Source organism: Homo sapiens, chromosome 1 (assembly GCF_000001405.40).
Source record: "Homo sapiens chromosome 1, GRCh38.p14 Primary Assembly".
Taxonomy (NCBI): Eukaryota; Metazoa; Chordata; class Mammalia; order Primates; family Hominidae; genus Homo; species Homo sapiens.
In genome coordinates, this window is record NC_000001.11 from 165,739,048 (window position 1) to 165,760,831 (window position 21,784).

Below are 21,784 nucleotides of genomic sequence, written 5' to 3' on the forward strand. Positions count from 1 at the left end.
AGTGTTAGTATATATCCTCCTTAACTGAAAACAAACATATGAAAATTTTTTGTGTTTTTTGCTGCCCACCTCCCCCTCTTTTTTGTATTCAGCAAGCATGTTTCAGTAGGCTGTACCAGTCTAGGATCTGCAGATTTTCTTATTTTAACTTAATAGCATATACCGTACACTTCAGTTCTCCACAAAGCCTAAAATATTTGCTATCTAGACCTTTACAGAAACAGTTTGCCGATCCGCACTGAAAATGAGCTTTGCATTCCTGATAAAATAACTGACACACAACTCATCACATTTTTAGAAATAATTAAAAGGAGTGTAAAGACCAGCTTGAGTTGAACTTCCTAAATAATTTTTTTTTGAGACAGGGTCTGGCTCTGTTGCCCAGGCTGGAGTGCAGTGATGCAATCTCGGCTCACTGCAACCTCCACCTCCCGGGCTCAAGCAATCTTCCCACCTCAGACTCCCAAGTAGCTGGGAGTAGAGGCATGCACCACTATACCCAGTTAAATTTTTGCATTTTTTGTAGAGATGGGGTCTCACCATGTTTCCCAGGCTGGTCTTGAACTCCTGGGCTCAAGCTACCTGCTCGCCTTGGCCTCCCAAAGTGCTGGGATTACAGGTGTGAGCCACTGTGCCTGGCTCTAAATGATAATTCTTAACAACATTTATTTCATTTTGAAAACTCTACAGTTTTAGATGGTGACTTTTTGGTGCATCTAAGATTACTATTGATCCATCACAAGTAAAGTAACAAAATCTGCCTGAAATTAAAACAGAATGGGGCCGGGCACAGTGGCTCACGCCTGTAATCCCAGAAATTTGGGAGGCCCAGGTGGGTGGATCACCTGAGGTCAGGAATTCGAGACCAGCCTGGCCAACATGGCGAAACCCTGTCTCTACTAAAAATATAAAGGGTTAGCCAGGCATGGTGGTGGGTGCCTATAATCCCAGCTTCTTGGGAGGCTGAGGCAGGAGAATCACTTGAACCAGGGAGGCGGAGGTTGCAGTGAGCCGAGATCGAGCTATTGCACTCCAGCCTGGGTGATGGAGTGAGATTCTGTCTCAAAATAATAACAACAACAACAACAACAAACTCAGAATTGCTCTTTGTTGCTTAAAGTGAAATATATACATCGTGTGTTTTTATGTTTTACTTATTTATTTATTTTTTTGAGACAGAGTCTTGCTCTGTTGCCCAGGCTGGAGTGCAGTGGCGTGATCTTGGCTCCCTGCAATCTCCGCCTCCAGGTTCACACCATTCTCCTGCCTCAGTCGCCCGAGTAGCTGGGACTACGGGTGACCACCACCACGCCCAGCTAATTTTCTTTGTATTTTTTTTAGTAGAGATGGAGTTTCACTGTGTTAGCCAGGATGGTCTCGATCTCCTGACCTCATGATCCGCCCGCCTCGACCTCCCAAAGTGCTGGGATTACAGGCGTGAGCCACCGCGCCTGGCCCATCATATTGTGTTTTATTAAGATGTCAACCCAAGCCACAATTTTAAAATTTCAGACTTAACAAATTAAAGACCAATATTCCACAGAGATCAAAGGATCTGTGCTAAACCAAAAGAGATCTGTGTTGTCATTACCTTAGCTTTCACAATAAACTCCTGCTATGGTTTGAATGTGTCCCCGAAAAGTTCATGTGGTGGAAATGTAATCCCTCTGCCCTCATGAATAGATTAATGTCATTATCACTGGAGTGGGTTCCTTATCACGAGTGGCTTTGCTATAAAAGTGAGTTCTCTCTGGTTCTCGCTCTTGCCTTCTCACCATGTGATGTCCTCCACCATCTTATGATGTAGCAGGAAGGCCCTCAGTAGATGCCAGCACCATGCTCTTGGCCTTCCTGCAGAACTGTGAGCTAAATTGTCTTTATAAATTAGCCAGGCTGTGGTATACTGTTACAGCAACAGAAAATGGGCTAGGGCAGCTCTATTACAGAGACCATTTCAAAAATTTAAGTATATACCTCAGCTAAGCAAGAGTACAACTTATTGGTGGACATAATCATTTAGCTATTCAACAAACACCTCAAACTCAGCGTGTCTTCTAACCAACATACTCTTCTTTCTTCTATTCCCAGTCTCTTAGTGAAACTAGTCCCCATTTGGTCACCAAAATAAAAAACCTGAAAGTCCTCTTAGTTTTTCCTTTCTCCTTCACATTAAATCAATAACTAAGTTCAGCTGGTTTCCCCTTCTATTTATTTCTCAATCTTTTCCCATTCTTTTCATCCCTCTTTTCACTGTTATAGTTTATAACATAATGATTTTTTGCTACACTATTATAATAGTCTTTTGATATTTCTGTATTTTAGTCATGCTCCTCTTATAGCTAACCTTCACAATGCAGTAAGTGCCAGAAAATATGTGCCAGAAAAGGAAGCCTTAAAACTTGATTGTGTTTAAAAGGAAGAAGAGGGAGGCATTCAGAAATAAGGAAAAACAGAAGCAAAAAGTACATCTGAGTGAGTGTAACATGAAAACTATTAAGCAAGCCAGAATGGGCAAAGTGCTGTATTTGTGGGGATGTGATGGGATATGAATTGGGAAAAAATATTAAGCAATACAATGACAAAGATCTTGGTGAGCCATGAACTATAATTTGATTTCCCATTGATTCTCACATTCCAGGGTGATAATGGTTTGAATCTGTGTCCCCATCCAAATCTCATGTCAAATTGTGTGGTTTAGCACCATCCCCCTTGGTACTGTTCTTGTGATAGTGAGTGAGTTCTCACGAGATCTGGTTGTTTAAAAGTGTGTAATACCTCCCACCTCTCTCTCTTGTTCCTACTCTTGCCATGTGACATGCCTGCTTCCCTTCTGCATTCCGCCATGATTCTAAGTTTCCTGAGGACTTCCCAGAAGTTGAGCAGATGCTAGCATCATGCTTCCTGTACAATCTACAGAGCCATAAGCCAATTAAACCTCTTTTCTTTATAAATTACCCAGTCTCAGGTATTTCTTTATAGCAATGCAAGAACAAACTAATACACAGGGCAACCAAAAATCTTCTGCCACAGACAGTATTCAGAAGGAGGGGAGAAAAAGAGAATCACTTGTGTAAGTGTAAGGAAAATTTTATGTTCCTATTTACTGCATGTGCAAACCTTTCCACTACAAAGCCTGCCGAACGGCAATATGTTCAGAAACTGAATAATGCCCTAAAATAAAGAATTGTTCAGCCAGAGACCTTAATTATCGGCTCCCCCCCTTTTCTTTTTTTGAGACAGGGTCCCGCTCTGCTGCCCAGGCTAAAGTCCAGTGATGTAATCAAGTCTCACTTCAAGCTCAAATTCCCAGGCTTTTGTGACCTTCCGACCTCGGCCTCTAGGGTAGCTGGGACTACAGGCACATGCCACCATACCCAGCTAATTTTTAAATTTTTTGTAGAGATGGAATCTCACAATGTTGCCTAGGCTGGTCTCAAATTCCCGAGCTCAGGTGATTCTCACGCCTCAGCCTACCAAATTGCTGGAATTACAGGCATGAGCCACGGCACCTGGCCACCTTTTCACTTCCATAGGCCCATCTCGAAAGCCACTTCATTCTCTAAACCTTTCTGCCTGAACCTTTCCCCACTAATCGAATGTTATAGCTCTCTTCCGGGCCTTCATAACCCTTTTACTCCTTAGTTCTCACTCTTTTTCACTACGAATGTCAAATCACCAAGTTGGCCAAATGTAAATTCTATAACCTAAACTTTATCTCAACTGTGAATAACCTAAAATTACCACATTGTTAAACTTACTTGTGCTCCTGAGCCGCTAAATGGTGCTGGTATATAATGAAGAAATGGTACTGGGAAGACCAAACCCACTCTCTACTTTTGCAGCTTTAGGCAGTTGTAATAAAGAAGGAGCCTGAGAGCTCTAAGAATGGGATGTGGAATCCATGTTTGGTTTTATCACTACTTCTCATCCCTAAGGATCAGTCATCTAGACCTACAGCCATTTAAAATGGCTTTTGGAAGATACACTGAAATTCTAAAATGAGCAACTGAAAGAACTCAGGAACAATGGGTAAACATTTCTAGTATTATAAAAGTAAAAGCTAATTGGTATGACAGCAAGGAAAAATATACATATTAAATGGTAGATGTGATCACTCACCTGTCGAATCGACATAGTACAGAGAATATACAGGAAAATGAAGGAACAGTCTGTGGTGTCATCTCCCAGCAGATTTCGATGAGACAGTCCTTGGATGTAAGAAAGAGGGGTAAAAGGAAGCTTTGCCACCACTCTACCATCAAATCTAAAAGAAAAAAAAAAAAAAAGAATTGTTATCTTTGGAAGACTGACAACTTTCTTACTTCCAAAGAAGAATCTGGGACAGAAATAGAGCTTTAAGTCTCTGATCTCTGAAAAACAAAGAGAGGGTGACATGCTAAAAATACACATGAACCTGATGTACGGTGATGTAAAGAAGAGCCTAGATTATTCTCATCAATCTTTTCCTAAATTAGTCATTCTCAATTCTTTTGGTATCAAGACCCCTTTATATACTGACAAATTATTTAGGACCCTAAAAACTTTGTGTTTCTGTAGCTTATAGTTATTAATATTTACTGTATTAGAAATTAAAAATGAGAAATGTTTAATATTTATTTTTTTTGAGACGGAGTCTTGCCGTGTCGGTCAGGCTGGAGTGCAGTGGCACAATCTCGGCTCATTGCAACCTTCGCCTCCCGGGTTCAAGCGATATAAAATCTTTTATATCTTTATATATAAGTTATTTAATTATATGAAGTTGAACATGCATGAGACTTTAAACCAGCAACAAATCTGAAAAATCTTCTGATAATTCCTTTTTTTTTTTTTTGAGATGGAGTCTCGCTCTGTCACTCAGGCCAGAGTGCAGTGTCGCCGTCTCAGCTCACTGCAACCTCCACCTCCTGCTTCAAGCGATTCTCCTGCCTCAGCCTCCCGAGTAGCTGGGATTACAGATGTGCACCACCACACCCAGCTAATTTTTGTATTTTTAGTAGAGACAGGGTTTCACGATGTTGGCCTTGATGGTCTCGATCTCTTGACCTCATGATCCGCCTGCCTCAGCCTCTCAAAGTCCTACAGGAATAGAAGCTTGTTATAAGGAACAGAAATTGGTGTCTAGCACAATAAAGAAAAAAACTGGGAAGAGAAGAAGGAAGGTGCAAAGAGAGAGATGATTTACAATAGGTGGATTATTTCTTTAAGTGCACTTACTCTATGACTCCAGAGGGCAGGATCACTGCTCACAAGTACAGATATAGGGAGGCATATTTTGGCCCAGTAAAACGAATTATTTTCAAACTCTAAAAACTACTCAATAAAAGTACTAGTTATCTCAGAAACCACTAAGCTCCTCATTGTTGGAAATAAAGGATGACAAATTATCTGTTAGAGACATTAGTGATGAGCTTTCTGTATTAGGAGAGAAGTTATGTGTTAAATGACTTTTAAGATCTCTTTCAGGCTGGGCACGGTGGCTCACACCTGTAATTCCAGCACTTTGGGAGGCCAAGGCAGGCGGATCACCTGAGGTTGGGAGTTCGAGACCAGCTGACCAACATGGAGAAACCCCGTGTCTACTAAAAATACAAAATTAGCCGGGCATGGTGGCGCATGCCTGTAATCCCAGCTACTCAGGAGGCTGAGGCAGGAGAATCACTTGAACCCGCGAGGCAGAGGTTGTGGTGAGCCGAGATCATGCCATTGCATTCTATCCTGGGCAACAAGAGCAAAACTCCATCTCAAAAAAAAAAAAAAAAAAAAAATTTCAATTCTAAAATCCTGTTATTTCAACTTTATGTAAATGATTCAGGAAGAGATGCCAAAAAGTAGATACAGCTACTAAATAAGTAGCTATATCTAGTCCTTTTTCTGGCAGTCTGGGAGTTCAAGTCCTTCCCTTCTTAGTCTAACCATAGATTTTTTTCCTTAAAGCATCTGCCAGCTGTTAACAAATTTTAAGAGTGTAAGGGATATTATTTTTGTTTGCTTCACACAGGGTCTCGCTCTGTCATTCAGGCTGGAATGCAGTGGTGCAATCATGGCTCACTGCAGCCTTGACCTCCTGGGCTCAAAGAATCCTCCTGCCTCAGCCTCCCAGGAAGGTGAGATTACAGAGGTATAGCACCATGTCTGGCTAATTTTTTTTTTTTTTTTGTAGAGCTGTGGTCTTCCTATGTTGCTCAGGCTGGTCTCAAACTCCTGGCTTCAAGTGATCCTCCTGCCTCAGCCTCCCAAATTGCTGGGATTATAGGAATGAGCCACCACTCTTGGCTTACATAATCTTTTAGTATCCCTTATAGTCTTGGCCAGGCGTGGTGGCTCATGTCTCATAATCCCAGCACTTTGAGAGGCCGAGGCAGGAGGATCACTTGAAGCCATGAGTTCGAGACCAGCCCGGGCAACATGGCGAAACCCTATCTCTACCAAAAAAAAAAAAAAAAAAAAAAATTAGCCACGTGTCATGGTGCATGTCTGTAGTCCCAGCTACTCAGGAGGCTAAGGTAGGGGGATCACTTGAGCCCAGCAGGTTGAGGCTGCAGTGAATAGTGATCACACCACTGCACTCCAGCCTGGGTGACAGAGCAAGATCTGGTCTCAAAAACAGATGATCAAAGTTAAACTTGGAGAAATTATGTTAAAGACTGAATAACTTTTGTCCAATATAATCAAAACATGTATTAGACTTTTAATTTCATATGCCAGTTTATAAAAATAGATGTACAGCCTTTAACTTCTAGGTGCTGACAATCTAAGACACAATATTTTTTTTAAATGTACAGGGTACAAAGACCAGAACAAAAACATGAATACAGCACTAATATTGGTAAAATATATTATGCGAACCTCCACTAGTTTGGGAAAACAAAACAAGCAAATAAAAAGCTATTGTTTGCCAGTGTTCTGAATAAGAAAGTTGCTGAAAATAATATACATAAAAACAAAAAAAGAAGGCCAGGAGCGGTGGCTCACGCCTGTAATCCCAGCACTTTGGGAGGCTGAGGCGGGTGGATCACGAGGTCAGGAGTTTGAGACCAGCCTGGCCAATATGGTGGAACCCCCTCTGTACTAACAATACAAAACAGAGTAGGTAGTAGGCAATGATAAGAAAATTAGCCAGGCATGGTGGTGCATGCCTGTAGTCCCAGCTACTTGGGAGGCTGAGGCAGAAGAATTGCTTGAATGCAGGAGGCGGAGGTCGTAGTGAGCCGAGATTGTGCCACTGCACTCCAGCCTGGGCGACAGAGCTAGACTCCATCTCAAAAAAAAAAAAAAAAAATAGCCTTCTTTCCTGCCAACATATCCTTTTATAAGAAACCTGATTATAATGAAGCTTTCATATAATTTTCCTCCTTGAAGATACTCTACTTGACTTCTTTGACTTCTATAGCTTGGAAGACCTATATCACACACACACACACACACACACACACACACACACAGCATCTAGTATTTTATATTGATGAACTGCAAAAATAATCTGGCATTTCAATACTGGTCCAAGGTCTAATAACTTAATCACCAAATATTTGATAAGTGCTTATTATATTATTAACTCTATTAAGGATAACATATCACATATGCTTGCATATAGCTTTGAAAACCTCCATTCTTTAAAAATTTCATAAATATCATAGCAGTGATATGGGCATTCTCTTCATCTTGTTCCCATCTTTACTGCAGTATCGTTGGTATTTTACCTTTGAGTATTTAACCCTCTTCTGGTTGTTCTAATTCATTGCACAATAGAACTAGAGAACAGTGATGGAGAGAAAGGAAGGGATGGAGGGAAAAGAGAATTTGGAAAAGATGACAATATTATTTGTCTGATCATATGATTATCTATCTAGAAAACTAGAGAATCAAATTAAAAGCTAGGAGAGTTCAGGAAGATGTCCAATTAGAAAATAAAATCACAAAAATTGATAACCTGCTGGGCATGGTGGCTCACGCCTGTAATCCCAGCATTTTGGGAGGCTGAGGCAGGTGGATCACTTGAGGTCAGGAGCTCAAGACTAGCCTGGCCAACATGGTGAAACCCCATCTCTACTAAAAATACAAAAATAAGCCAGGCGTAGTGATGCCTGCCTGTAATCCCACCTACTCGGGAGGATGAGGCAGGAGAATCACTTGAACCCGGGAGGTAGAGGCTGCAATGAGCCAAGATCGTGCCACTGCACTCTAGCCTGGGCAACAGAGAACAGTGTGAGGCTCTGTCTCAAAAAAAAAAAAAAAAAAAAAAAAAATTGATAAGCTACTTATAGACAGTAGTAGCAAACTAGAAAATATGAAATATTACTTATACTTATTTGGAAAGAAACTACAGAAAGTATATAAAATAGACTTGGCAGAAATACCATGTTTCTGGATGGGAATACTAAAAATTATAAAGGTATTTAATACCTCAAAATTAATGTACAAATTTAATAAAATTTCAGACAAAACTCAGAAGGGATTATTTTAGAGGAAGCTGACACTTGATTGATTCTAAAATTCATTTGAAAGAATAAGTGCCCCAGGAACAGTGAACAATACAGTTAAAACAGAGTACGTAGTAGGCAATGATAAGAAAATAGTTTGAAAAACAGGCTGGGGCCAAAGCATGGAATGTCATGAGAGCCAGGGTAAGGAGTCTGACTAAAATCAATAGTCAGGGTTGCATGGTGATAAGTGTGGACTTTAGAGTCTGAGAGACAGGGTTAAACCCCAGCTCAACATTTACTAGCTTGGAGACCTTGAGCAAGTTAAGTGACTTAGAGTCTCACGTCCTCATCTGTAAAATAAAGATTAGAATTCTTATCTTAGAAGACTGTTAAAAGTAAAAGGGAAGGCAGGGCGTGGTGGCTCACACCTGTAATACCAGCACTCTGGGAGGCCGAGGCAGGCAGATCACCTGAGGTCAGGAATTCAAGACCAGCCTTGCCAACATGGTGAAACCCCATGTCTACTAAAAATACAAAAATTAGCTTGGTGTGGGGGCGAGTCCCTGTAATCTCAGCTACTCAGGAAGCTGAGGCAGGAGAATCGCTTGAACCCGGGAGGTGGAGGTTACGGTGAGCCCAGATCACGCCACTGCACTTCAGCCTGGGTGACACAGCAAGACTCCATTTCAAAAAAAAAAAAACCAGTAAAAGGGTAACATATATAAAAAGTTCACTACAGTCCCCAACATGGGTTACTATTTAATCAGTAGCAGATAATGTTATTAGGCAATGAGTAACAGGCTTCTGAGGATGGCTAACTTAACAATGTTGGATAGAGAGGAGACACCTGAGGGAGCGAAAGCAGGCTATTGTGATACCAAGCAAAAAGTAATAGCAAAGGAGAAAAAAGGAAATAATCATTGAAACTAGGATGGGAGCTGGTGCTAGGATGAATGAGAAGAGAGGGAGGGATGAATGAATGACTACACAGACAGAAAACAGGGGCTGTTAACTGAGAGGAAGAGAAAGTTGAAAGGGTCAGATTTAATCCAGTACATATCATTAAATTTGGGACAGGACAGATATGGAGTAATGTCTAATGAAAAGAAGAGGGAGAGGAAGGGAAACAAAAAAGGTTTGAATTCCTGGTGATGAGAATTGAGTACCACTAAAACATATGGATGAGAATGCTGCTTTCACAGGGAACACAATTGGTTCCAAGTGAGTTTCAAAGTCCATGGTTGACATTAGGGTTCATTCTTGGTGTTGTACATTCTATGGGTTTGGACAAATATATAATAACATGTTATCTACCATTATAGTATCATAAAGAATAATCTCATTGCCCTAAAGAATCCTCTGTGCTCTGCCTAGTCATCCTTCCCTTCCTCCTAACTCCTGGCAACCATTGATCTTTTTACTGTCTCCATAGTTTTGCCTTTTTCATACAGCAGGAATCGTACAGTATACAGCCTTTTTGGAAGAGCTTATTCACTTAAAATTATGCATTTAAGATTTCTCCATGTCTTTTCATGGCTTACCAGCTCACTTCTTTTTAGCACTGAATAATATTTCATTGTCTAGTTGTACCACAGTTTGTTTATCCTTTCACCTACCGAAAGACATCTTGATTCCTTCCAACTTCTGGCAATTATGAATAAACCTGCTATAAACATCTGTGTACAGGTTTTTGTGTGGATCTAAGTTTTCAATCTATTTGGGTTCACTTTCACTTTTTATTCTATATAAGTGTTTGAATTTTTTAGAAATAAGTTTTATATATTACTCATATAAGAAAATTATTTTATAAAACTCCATATATGATTTTTTCCCCCGTATATGATTCTGATGCACATTCCTGGTTAAGATCCACTGCCTAAGTTTTGGGAAGCTACTGATACGTAATAAACAAGTCATTTCAAATCATCAGGGAAAAGATGATTTATTCAACTACGTGATATTGACAATGGTTAAAAACTTAGTAAAGTTGGAAACCAAATACCAAAATAAATTGTAGACGAAACAAATATTTAAATATAACAAGTAGGCTAGGTGCAGTGGCTCATGCCTGTAACCCCAACACTCTGGGAGGCCAGAGGTAGGGATCACTGGGGCCCAGGAGTTCAAGGATGCAGTGGGCAATGACTGCACCACTGCACTCCGGCCTGGGTAATGGAGTGAAAACCTGTCTTTAAATAAATAAATAAGAAAATAGAAAAAAACAGGAAAAAAATTTTTCTATAATCTGATATGACGAATGGCATTACTTACCTAATGGAAAAGAGTAACAGCTTTAACAACAAAAAATATTTTCCAAAAAAAGAGTTTAATAGCCTCTATATGTAAAAAACTCTTGTAAATAAAAACATAAAAAATAAACGTCAAAAAAAAGAAGGCAGGGAGCAAGTGGAGGGAATGAACTAGGAACTTAAAACTGGAAAAACATAGTAAGTATATGAAAAGATGTTAAATCTCACACAAATTATCAAAAAAATGAAAAAATTTGAAAGAAATATTATTTTTCAACTATTCAATTGGCAAATTTTAAGCAGATACATCATAATTTCCAGTGATGATAAGTATAAGGAGAAAGATCCATTCACAAGTACTGATGGCAATAATCTAAAGATATAAATTAATAAAATCTAAGGAACAATATATACCAAAGTTTAACTCACGAAATACTAGGATATACCCTAAGGGAATAATAAGTATACATTGGTATACATACTATCTAAAAATTCTTTATGATGATTAATAAAAAATTAGTTAAACAGAGTACATCCTGGCCAGGCGCAATGGCTCACACCTGTAATCCCAGCACTTTGGGAGGCCAAGGTGAGCAAATCACCTGAGGTCATGAGTTCGAGACCAGCCTGGCCAACATGGTGAAAACCCATCTCTACTAAAAATACAAAAAATTAGCTGGGTGTGGTGGTTCGCACCTGTAATCCCAGCTACTCGGGAGGCTGAGGCAGGAGAATGGCTTCAACCCAAGAGGCGGAGATAGCAGTGTGTTGAGACCAGGCCATTGCACTCCAGCCTGGGCATAAAGAGCAAAACTCCGTCTCAAAAAAAAAAAGAAAAAAAAAAAAAAGTACATCCATTCAATGGAACATTATAAAGACATTTCAAAAAAGAGTAAGTTACAGAAATTAATACATATATCATGTTTTAAAAATTGCCCACAGACTTTTGTGTGGACAAAAATTATAGCAGGTTACAAAACAACCATTCTTCTGTATTAAAGTTTATATTCAGCCTGGGCAACACAGTGACACCTTGTCTGTACAAAAAACTTTTTAAAAATTAGCCTGGGCCAGGCGTGGTGGCTCACGCCTGTAATCCCAGCACTTTGGGAGGCCTGGGTGGGAGGATCACTTGAGGTCAGGAATTTGAGACCAGCCTGGCCAACATGGTGAAACCCCGTCTCTACCAAAAATACAAAAAGTAGCCAGGCATGGTGGCACACACCTGTAGTCCCAGCTACTCGGGAGGCTGAGGCAGGAGAATCACTTGAACCCAGGAGGCAGAAGTTGCAGTGAGCTGAGATCGCGCCACTGCACTCCCGCCTGGTGACAGAGAGAGACTCTGTCCCGAACAACAACAACAAAAAGATAATAAATTACTATCATCGTTGGATATTTTCTGTCAAACTCAGTTCCATAATTACTCTGGTCTGCTATATGCTGGTTTAGACAACAGTAATTTACCTTATCATTAAACAAGATTATAGTTATTAAGACTCTATTTTAAGAAGCAAAAGATCTTTTTATGACTACCTTCATTTTGAAGCAGCATGTTAGTAAGCAACTGAAAAAGAGGGAACATATTAAATTCTCTATAGAGAACCCATAATGCCTACGCCTTATGTCTTATACATAAAACACCCTCAATATTAAAAGGGTAAAAAAGTTATTGTGTAATTGTATTTTATAAAAATTAAATTCTGGCTGGGCGTGGTGGCTCACGCCTGTAATCCCAGCACTTTGGGAGGCCGAGGCAGGTGAATCACCTGAGGTTAGGAGTTTGAGACCAGCCTGACCAACATGGCAAAACCCCGTCTCTACTAAAAATACAAAAATTAGCTGGGCATGGTGGTGCATGCCTGTAGTACCAGCTACTCGGGAGGCTGAGATAGGAGAATCGCTTGAACGCAGGAAGACAGAGGTTGCAGTGAGCCAAGATTGCGCCACTGCACTCCAGCCTGGGTGACAGAGCAAGACTCCGTCTCAAAAAAAAAAAAGACCCAAAAAACAAAAATTCCCTTGATTTTGATAATTGTTTTGAAGTTATATAAGAAAATGTCCTTAGGAAATATACAGAGAAGTAGTTATGGGAAACGGGGCATACAGCCTACAACATACTCTCAAATGATTAAGAAAAATACATAAATAATGTATGGATGAGCACACATATAATAGAGAAAGAAAAGAGAGAAAAAGAAAAAAAAGAAGTGAAGCAAAACATTAACAACTGTGAATGTAGGTAATGGATATACTATTCTTGCAACTTTTCTTTAAGTTTGAAATTACATCAAAATAAAATATTTTACCCAAAAAGTTCATGCTAACATACATACAAATATAGAGTAATAGTTATTAGTCAAAAGCATATAAAAGGACACTCACATGGAATTGAACATTCCCATTAGGGCAGTAAAACAAAAGCCAATAGCAAACATGGATTTCATTCGAACCTGTAATGAGACGAACAAATTGTCATTTTACACTAAAAAAAAACACATCTAAAGCATATCTCAAAAGTTTTGGTTTCATGTCATTTTTTTTTTTTTTTTTTTTGAGGCAGAGTCTTGCTCTGTCTCCCAGGCTGGAGTACAGTGGCGCAATCTCGGCTCACTGCAAGCTCCGTCCCCCCGGGTTCACGCCATTCCCTTGCCTCAGCCTCCCGAGTAGCTGGGACTACAGGGGCCCGCCACCACGCTTGGCTGATTTTTTGTATTTTTAGTAGACATGGAGTTTCACCGTGTTAGCCAGGATGGTCTCAATCCCCTGACCTTGTGACCCCCCCGCCTCGGCCTCCCAAAGTGCTGGGATTACAGGCGTGAGCCATTGCGCCCAGCCTCACGTCATTTTTTTTTTAAATCTCCGTAGCAGTTCAAGACCAGCCTGGCCAACATGGTGAAACCCCATCTCTACTAAAAATACAAAAAATTAGCCAGGCGTACTGGCGGGTGCCTGTAATCCCAGCTACTCGGGAGGCTGAGGCAGGAGAATCACTTGAACCTGAGAGGCGGAGGTTGCAGTGAGCCGAGATTGTGCCATTGCACTCCTGCCCCAGGCGACAGAGTGAGACTCCGTCTCAAAAAAAAAAAATAGTACTCCTTAGCAAAAAGCTATAGCTGTATGTTGGGTAACCCACCCTTCACCTCCAATTCCTCTTCTTGCCACCCGGTGAGGAAGAATATTGGGGTGACTTTGTGGCCCAATTCTGGCCAATGAGTTAATAAGTACTGGCAAAAGGTCTCTCAGTAAGTAAAAGAGAACTATTGCACAGTTCAGGTGTCCTGTGTTAAATATATAGAAGTTAAGTGAAAAATTAATCAAGCTATATAATTAGCCTATCTATGCTTTAGGAAGATATGCTCAAATAAAGCCTACTCTTAATAAATAATGAGGAAATTGGTAGTGAAATCAGTTTTCCTTATACTTCATGGTATGCCAGATACTGAGAACAAAAGGTCTCTTAAAGAACAAAAGAGCCAGGCACGGTAGCTCACACCTGTAATCCCAGCACTTTGGGAGGCCGAGGCAGGTGGATGGCTTGAGCTCAGGAGTTCAAGACCAGCCTGGGCAACATAGCAAGACCCTGTCTGTACAAAAAATACAAAAATAAGCCAGGCATGGTGGCACACGCCTGTAATCCCAGCTACTTGCAAGGCTGAGGTAGGAGGAGCGCACAAGCCCAGGTGGCAGAGTTTGCAGTCAGTCGAGGTAGAGCCACTGCACTCCAACCTTGGTAATAGAGCAAGACTCTGTCTCAAAAAAAAAAAAAAAAAAAAAAAAAGACTTGGCAGGGTGCAGTGGCTCACGCCTATAATCCCAACACTCTGGGTGGCTGGGGCTGGAGGATCCATCACTTGAGCCCAGGAATTCAAGATCAGTGTGCCCAGGAATTCAAGATCAGTGTAGCCAAGATAGCAAGACCTCATCTCTACAAAAAAAAATTAAAAATTAGCCGGGCGTGGTGTACTCCTGTAGTCCCAGCTACTTGGGAGGCTGAGACAAGAGGGTCCCTAGAGCCCAAGAATTCACAGTGGCAGTGAGCTCTGATCGTGCTACTGCATTCCAGCATGGTTGACAAAGCAAGATCCTGTCTCTAAAAAAGAAAAAAGAAAAAAGAACACAAGACAGTAATAAAAGCCATTTATAATGTTCCAACTTCTATACTGGAATTACACACATCACCATAAAACCAAAGATTCAGCATTAACGTAAAGAAGAAAAAGAAAATAAACTACTTCATTTGAAAACATAAGAGGGAACTAAGAACTGTGTGAAGAGGACAAATTATGACCTCTGAGACAGTCTAAAAAAGCTATTTATAGTATTAAAATGAAGTTTAAGAGCAGGAGCATATTTTCACTTCCATTTGGTCCAGGAACACCCATGATATTATTTATAGCCTTCACAGGTGATAAATTTCTGAAAAGGTGAGTGCAATGCACTTGATGTAAATCAGTCTTTTGCTAAAAATATTATGTGGTTAACCATGAAGTTATAGTTAGGTCTCTTACCATTGATAGATCTCTGTTGTTATTCTTCAGTTTCTCTTCTTGTCTCTCTGCAAAGAATTAATGAGATGGTTAATACATACAATGCTGAGCACAAAGCAGCTGTTAAATAAACTGTCACTGATTGGTGATTACAAAAGCACTCTATCTCAATATCATTTAATAAGATGATGAAAACACCTGGGATAGTATACGTTTTGTACTCAGAAGATTCAAATGCAGCAGAGCACCAAAATATTTCAATTTAAATAAATAAATCTTTAGTGTTTTTTTGAAATTACCTCTGGTATTAAATGTCTTAACTCTGTACATTAATATATATGCTTATGTTACACCAAAGGGAATTGCCAATCAGTTAATTTGTAAGTATAACATAATGATTGTACTTAGATGTCTCAAATTAGTTATCCTTCTCTTAAATTTTCTATTTTTTCAATTTCTCTAAAATGGCATATAGTCTAAAATTATAAGCCAGTTGATAGGATGAACTTAAAATTCAGGTTCTAGCTGGGCAATCCCAGCTCTTTGGGAGGCTGAGGTGAGAAGATCACTTGAGGCCAGGAGTTCAAGACCATCCTGGGCAACATAGCAAGACCCTGTCTCTGCAAAAAATTTACAAATTAGCCAACCGTGATGGTGTGCCCCTGTAGTCCCAGCTACTTGGGAGGCTACAGTGGGAGGATTACTTGAGCCCAGGAGTTTGAGGCTGCAGTGGGCCATGAACGCGTCACTGTGCTCCAGCCTGGGCGATAGGGTGAGACTCTGTCTGAAAACAAAAACAAAAACAAAAACAAAAAACTACGCATTCTCTAAGTAGTGAACCTTTAGAATACAACATCTATGAAATTTGACAAAATTTCATGGAGAGAATAATCTGGAAATATGCAAAAGATACATTTATATTTAGAATGATTTCTTTTCCAAGGTGACTAGCAAAAGGGAAAATTAAAATTCAGAAAAGGAATACTCCAAAAATGGAGGCTACATTTCTTGTGGCTATTGGAATAAACTAGTAGCAATGATGACATCCATTCTGACCACAGAGTCAGTAGACCTTCAGCCAATCCAAATAACATAGAAAAAGGCCTAGAATGAGTGTATAAATTCAGGGCCCCAAATATATTAAATTTCAAAAATTTCCTCTCATATTTAAATCCAAGTCATGAAGAAAAGAGGCCATGTGTGGTAGCCCACACCTGTAATCCCAGCTCTTTGGGAGGCTGAGGTAGGAGGATTGCTTGAGTCCAGGAGTTCAAGGGCAACACAGAGAGACCCCATCTCTACAAAAAACTTAAAATTAGCCAGGCATGGTGGTATATGCCTGTAGTCTGAGCTATTCAAGGAGGCTGAGGCAAGAGGAGTTGGGGTTGTGGTGAGCCATGAACATGCCACTATACTTCAGCCTGGGCTGACAGAGGGTAACCTTGCTTCAAAAACAAAAACAAAAGCAAAACAAAACAAAAAAAGAAAAGAGATACTTATCCCACTCAGACAAGCTTCAGAATGTCTGCTCTCCCTTTCCCATCCACCTTCTGGGGACATCTGCCTGGCACCATACCTTGTTGAAGGGTTAGCCTCATGAAGATTTATAACACCCTCTGTCCTACTACTGCTGACCCAAGAGGCAGCCAAACCATAGGCTCTCCCATGACCTATGACATAAAAAGATCAGCTGGGCCAATTAGATTCCTCTCTCAGGAATTTATGCTAGAAAATTTTGGGAAAATAAATCAATTAACTATGGGAACAGAAATAGAAAAGTTATAATATGGTACTGGCTCTGAAACTTTAATTTGCCTAAGAATTATATGGGCAGCTTGTTTAAAAAAAAAAAAAAAGAAAAAAGTAGACTCCTGGGTCCCACATCCAGAGATCCTGATTCAGTAAAGTCTGGGAGTAATACTTAGAACCCTTCATTTTTCACAAGTATCTCAAGCAATATTGATGTAGGTAATCTATGGATCACATTATGAAAATACTGAGATAGAACCCAAGGACACAAGCATCTGGAGCAGATATTCCTAAGGGGTTGGGAGTGGGGAAGGACACAGGGAAGGTTAGGTGAAGACAAAAGCTGAATGCCAAAAAAATTAGTGAAGTCTTACAGTGAAGATCCCTGTCCAGCTTTTTCTCAAGACTTGCTCTGCTTGCAGGACTTGCTTTACCACGGTTCCTGCCTTCCTGTAACCACTTAGTTCAGCTTTGCCTGAGTTTCTCATCACGTATATCCTTCAAATAAACCCCTTATGACTTCTTTATTTGGAATACAACAAAACAAACTATATAAAATTCATATACCAAAAGTAAATTCATTTTTCTTCTTATAAGAGGGAAATGCAAAATAGTCAAAACATTTGCTCCTGAAATTAAGAATTGGGAACATCAAATCTTCAGTTAAAAAGCAAAGGACGCTTCCACTGCAGATTAATGGTTCTCTCAAGGATTGTTATCAAAGAGCTTCACCTAGTGAAATCAATGACATTTTGCTTCTCCGGAACACTGAATATTGCTGGCTGCTTCCCTCTTACTGAAAACTCCCTTCTTTCAGTGCAGTGGCTTTACTCTTTATACTCCCTTTTCCCCAGATACTATATATATATTTACAAATATATACTATATATACAAATATAGTATATATTTGTAAATAAGCTCAAGTGAGGAATCTGGGCTAAGAAAAAGTAAGGGTTAGATAATAATGAAACTATATAGGATCAGTACATAAAAATACATTTAATTGGTCCTATAAAGTTGCTGGAGATGAACACCAAATGAGCAAATCTCATGATTTTCTTGCATGAGAATGAGCAAGTCTCATTCCAGGCTTATCAGCAGCCGATTCAAAGGAAAACAAAAATCAGTTCGAGCACAGTGTCCGTAAGATAAAATAAATCAATTACTTATGAGAACTGCTACTTTTCCTGATATTGAAAACTAATAGAAACAGTTTCCACAATTTCTTATCAAAAGACAATTGTGTAATGTTGTGGATGTTTTTGAATATATTCCATAGTAGTACTATAACAAATTGTATTATACCTGGCTGAATTTTTCATAATAAGCCTAACAATGCAAATGCCAAGGCGAAATACAGTAAAAGCGTTTTATGAAGTCCAAAATAATCCAGTTTAGGTTTACAGATTTCTGATAGTCTGGCTTAATCTAAGATTAAAATGTACAAATCTAGAGAATGGATAGATCATCTTTCAAGCAATTCTTCATAAATATTACATCTCATAATTTCTAATAAGATTTTGATAAGCAACTCTTCATAAATACTACTTCCTTTTTTGCGACAAAGTTTTGCTCTTGTTGCCCAGTCTGGAGTACAATGGCGCGATCTCGGCGCACTACAACCTCCACCTCCCAGATTCAAGTGGATTCTCCTGCCTCAGCCTCCCAAGTAGCTGGGATTATAGGCATGCACCACCACGCCTGGTTAATTTTTGTATTTTTAGTAGAGACGGGGTTTCGCCATGTTGGTCAGGCTAGTCTTGAACTCCTGACCTCAGGTGACCCACCCGTCTTGGTTTCCCAAAGTGCTGGGATTACAAGCGTGAGCCACCATGCCTGGCAATAAATATTATTTCTTATAACTTCTGATGAGTTTTTCTGGGGTGAGCAAACAATTCAAGGTTACACTCCATGTTAAGATCATTTGAATTCAGATACACCGTGTTGCCAATTTAAGGACAGAGGATAATCTGCCTTCCATTTTTATATCCTTCCTATTCTTTATAGCAAAGGTACTTGAAAGAGTTGTCCATGTTGAATGTCTTCATTTTCTCACTGTCTGCATTCTCAATGTCTGCATTCTCTTCTTCATCTATATGATCTGGCTTCTGTCCCCCATCATGCCACTGAAACCATTTTTGCTAGAAGCACTAATAACCTCCATTTCTTAGACATTTACCATCATCATCAGGCCCTTCCTCCTCCCTGACACTCTCCTCTCAACTTCTGTGACACTACTACTTTCCAACTTATCTGGCAATACTTTTTCAGAACTTTACTTCTTCTGTTGTTCCTTAAATTTCTGTTCCTCAAGACTCTTGGCCGGCATAGTGGCTCATGTCTACAAGCCCAGCACTTGGAGAGGTTGAGGCGGCGGATCACCTGAGGTCAGGAGTTCGAGACCAGCCTGGCTAACATGGCAAAATCCCGTCTCTACTAAAAATACAAAAATTAGCCAGGTGTGGTGGTGCATGCCTATAGTCCCACCTACTCGTGAGGCTGAGGCAGGAAAATCGCTTGAACCCGGGAGGCAGAGGTTGCAGTGAGCCGAGATCACACCACTGCACTACAGCCTAGGAAACAAGAGTGAAACTCTGTCTCAAAAAAAAACAAAAACAAAAACAGAAAAAAACAAGCAAACAAACAAAAAAGTACTTATCATCCTGCATAGTAATCATTTATTTTCTGGTCTATTTTCCCTCTCTAAATAGAGCTCATAAAAATAGAATCTTTTTCTACTTTGTTTCTCCAATGCTGTTAGGAGTAACTGACACATACAGCGTAAATGTTCAATAGCATTTTCTCATAGAATTAAGTGAACAGACCACTTAAAAAACATCCAGGATCGCTATACTAACTGAAAAACTTTAATCAGAACAGGAATTGACATAGTCTAATCGCATGGAATTCTCCCCTGGGTTGTAACAGCAGTGACCTAGGGATACAGACACAGTTTCTAAAACAAATACACAATCTCATAATAATTTTTTTCCTAATTTCAGAATCAAGAAATGTCATAATGTATAAAAACAAATCATATACAATCCTTTACGAATTGTCTTTTGGAAACAGAATTACTTAAATTCTAAGTTATACTAAAAAACTAAAAACACATGATATGGTCATTATTTCTCCAAGTATATCAAAATTACTCAGAAAATTTCCTACCCCTTGGTGGATTTCCATCACTAGTCAATACTCAGTAAGGAAGCCATGGAAACAATGAATACAAGTAAGACTTAAGTGGAAATAATCATCTCAGATATAAAAAACAACATGCTTTTACAAACTATGCCAAAAACCCTCAGCCAAGTTCAAAAGCCACAACTGTCATTTTACAAAACTCAAATTCCAAAGCTAAGAGCAAAAATAGAGGAACTGCTTAAATTTGTCCTGTACACCTCACAAAATGGGTAAGAATCAAGTGAGATAAAGTATGCATGTGCTTTATAAACCATAAAATCATAGAAATGTGAGTTATCACTATTAATAATTTTATATTTTCATTATCTAAGAATTAATTTTTTTAAGAAAACCCAAATTTCATTTTGACTAATATCTCATCTTACCTATTTTCTTTTTCTGTTGTCGACCAGCTGACTCTGTTATTGTTTCCTTCTTCTTTTCCACTGTAAACAACATAGTAACACAGTAAAAATTAACTGGATTATACTAAAGAAACAAAGGATGCTTTATCACAGCTGAACCAATGAAAGAAGCTTGCAAGAAAGTTACACACTGACTGATTATGGTCATGATTAAGTTAACTGGTCCACTCTCATAGCTACTGATGGTAAAAGGTAGATACAATATTCTAAGAATGAAACAACAATTATAAGCATCATTAATCAAATACCCATAAAGAATTGTATTGATATAATCATAATGAAAACAGACCATCAGCTGAGGATGATTACCTTAGCTAGTTTCAAAGCACAATTTTCAAATTTCTATTCTCTCAGATAACTAGGGTTAATTGTAATTCCATTCTCTTATGACAGAAGGTAGAAATTTATTCACTCAGTTATTGGCTGCCTAAATAACTCTAAGCAGATGAAAAAAAAATGATCCCTACCTTCTAAAGAATAATCTAGTCAGGGGAAATAATCAAATGACAATTACAGTAATGTGACAAGATAGTTATACGCACACTGCAGGAAAATCAGGAGAGCCAAAAAAGCTAAGACCAGACAGACGCAGTGGCTCACACCTATAACCCCAGCACTTTGGGAGGCCTAGGCGGGCAGATCACCTGAGGTCAGGAGTTTGAGACCAGCCTGGCCAACATATAGTGAAACCCCGTCTCTACTAAAAAACATACAAAAATTAGCTGGGCGTAGTGGCATATGCCTATAATTCCAGCTACTTGGGAAGCTGAGGCAGGAGAATCACTTGAATCCAGGCGGTGGAGGTTGCAGTGAGTTTAGATCACACCACTCTACTCCAGTCTGGGCAATAGAGCGAGACTCTGTTTCTCAAAAAAAAAAAAAAAAATACCAATTTTTCTGATGCATTTCAATTACTATCATGATTACATAACAATAAGCTTTTGAAAAAGAAATAGTGGGCCGGGTGCAGCGGCTCACACCTGTAATTCCAGCACTTTGGAAGGCCGAGGTGGGCAGATCATGAGGTCAAGAGATTGAGATCATCCTGGCCAACATGGTGAAAACCCATCTCTACTAAAAATACAAAATTTAGCTGGGCATGTGGCGCGTGCCTGTAGTCCCAGCTACTTGGGAGGCAGAGGCAAGAGAATCGCTTGAACCCGGAAGGCAGAAGTTGCAGTGAGCCAAGATCTCGCCACTGAACTCCAGCCTGGCGACAGAGCGAGACCCCATCTCAAAAAATAAAAAAAAGAAAGAAAAAGAAATAG

The 21,784-nt window shown here is 39.6% G+C and overlaps 1 protein-coding gene across 4 annotated transcripts in view; it reads right to left on the reverse strand.

Annotated features, from left to right (window-relative positions):
• Nucleotides 1–21,784, reverse strand: part of TMCO1 (transmembrane and coiled-coil domains 1) — a 44,632-nt gene that overhangs the window by 14,757 nt on the left and 8,091 nt on the right. For all 4 annotated transcript variants that reach the window (NR_045818.1, NM_001256164.1, NM_001256165.1 and 1 more), the window contains exons 3-6: nt 20,478–20,537; nt 15,181–15,227; nt 13,055–13,122; nt 4,120–4,264 (exon numbers count right to left, since the gene is read on the reverse strand). Coding sequence is in view for 3 of the 4 variants with exons in the window: in NM_001256164.1 (NP_001243093.1) it covers nt 4,120–4,264; nt 13,055–13,122; nt 15,181–15,227; nt 20,478–20,537 (320 nt within the window). In the remaining variant the exon portion in view is untranslated. The remainder of the gene's footprint in view (nt 1–4,119; nt 4,265–13,054; nt 13,123–15,180; nt 15,228–20,477; nt 20,538–21,784) is intronic.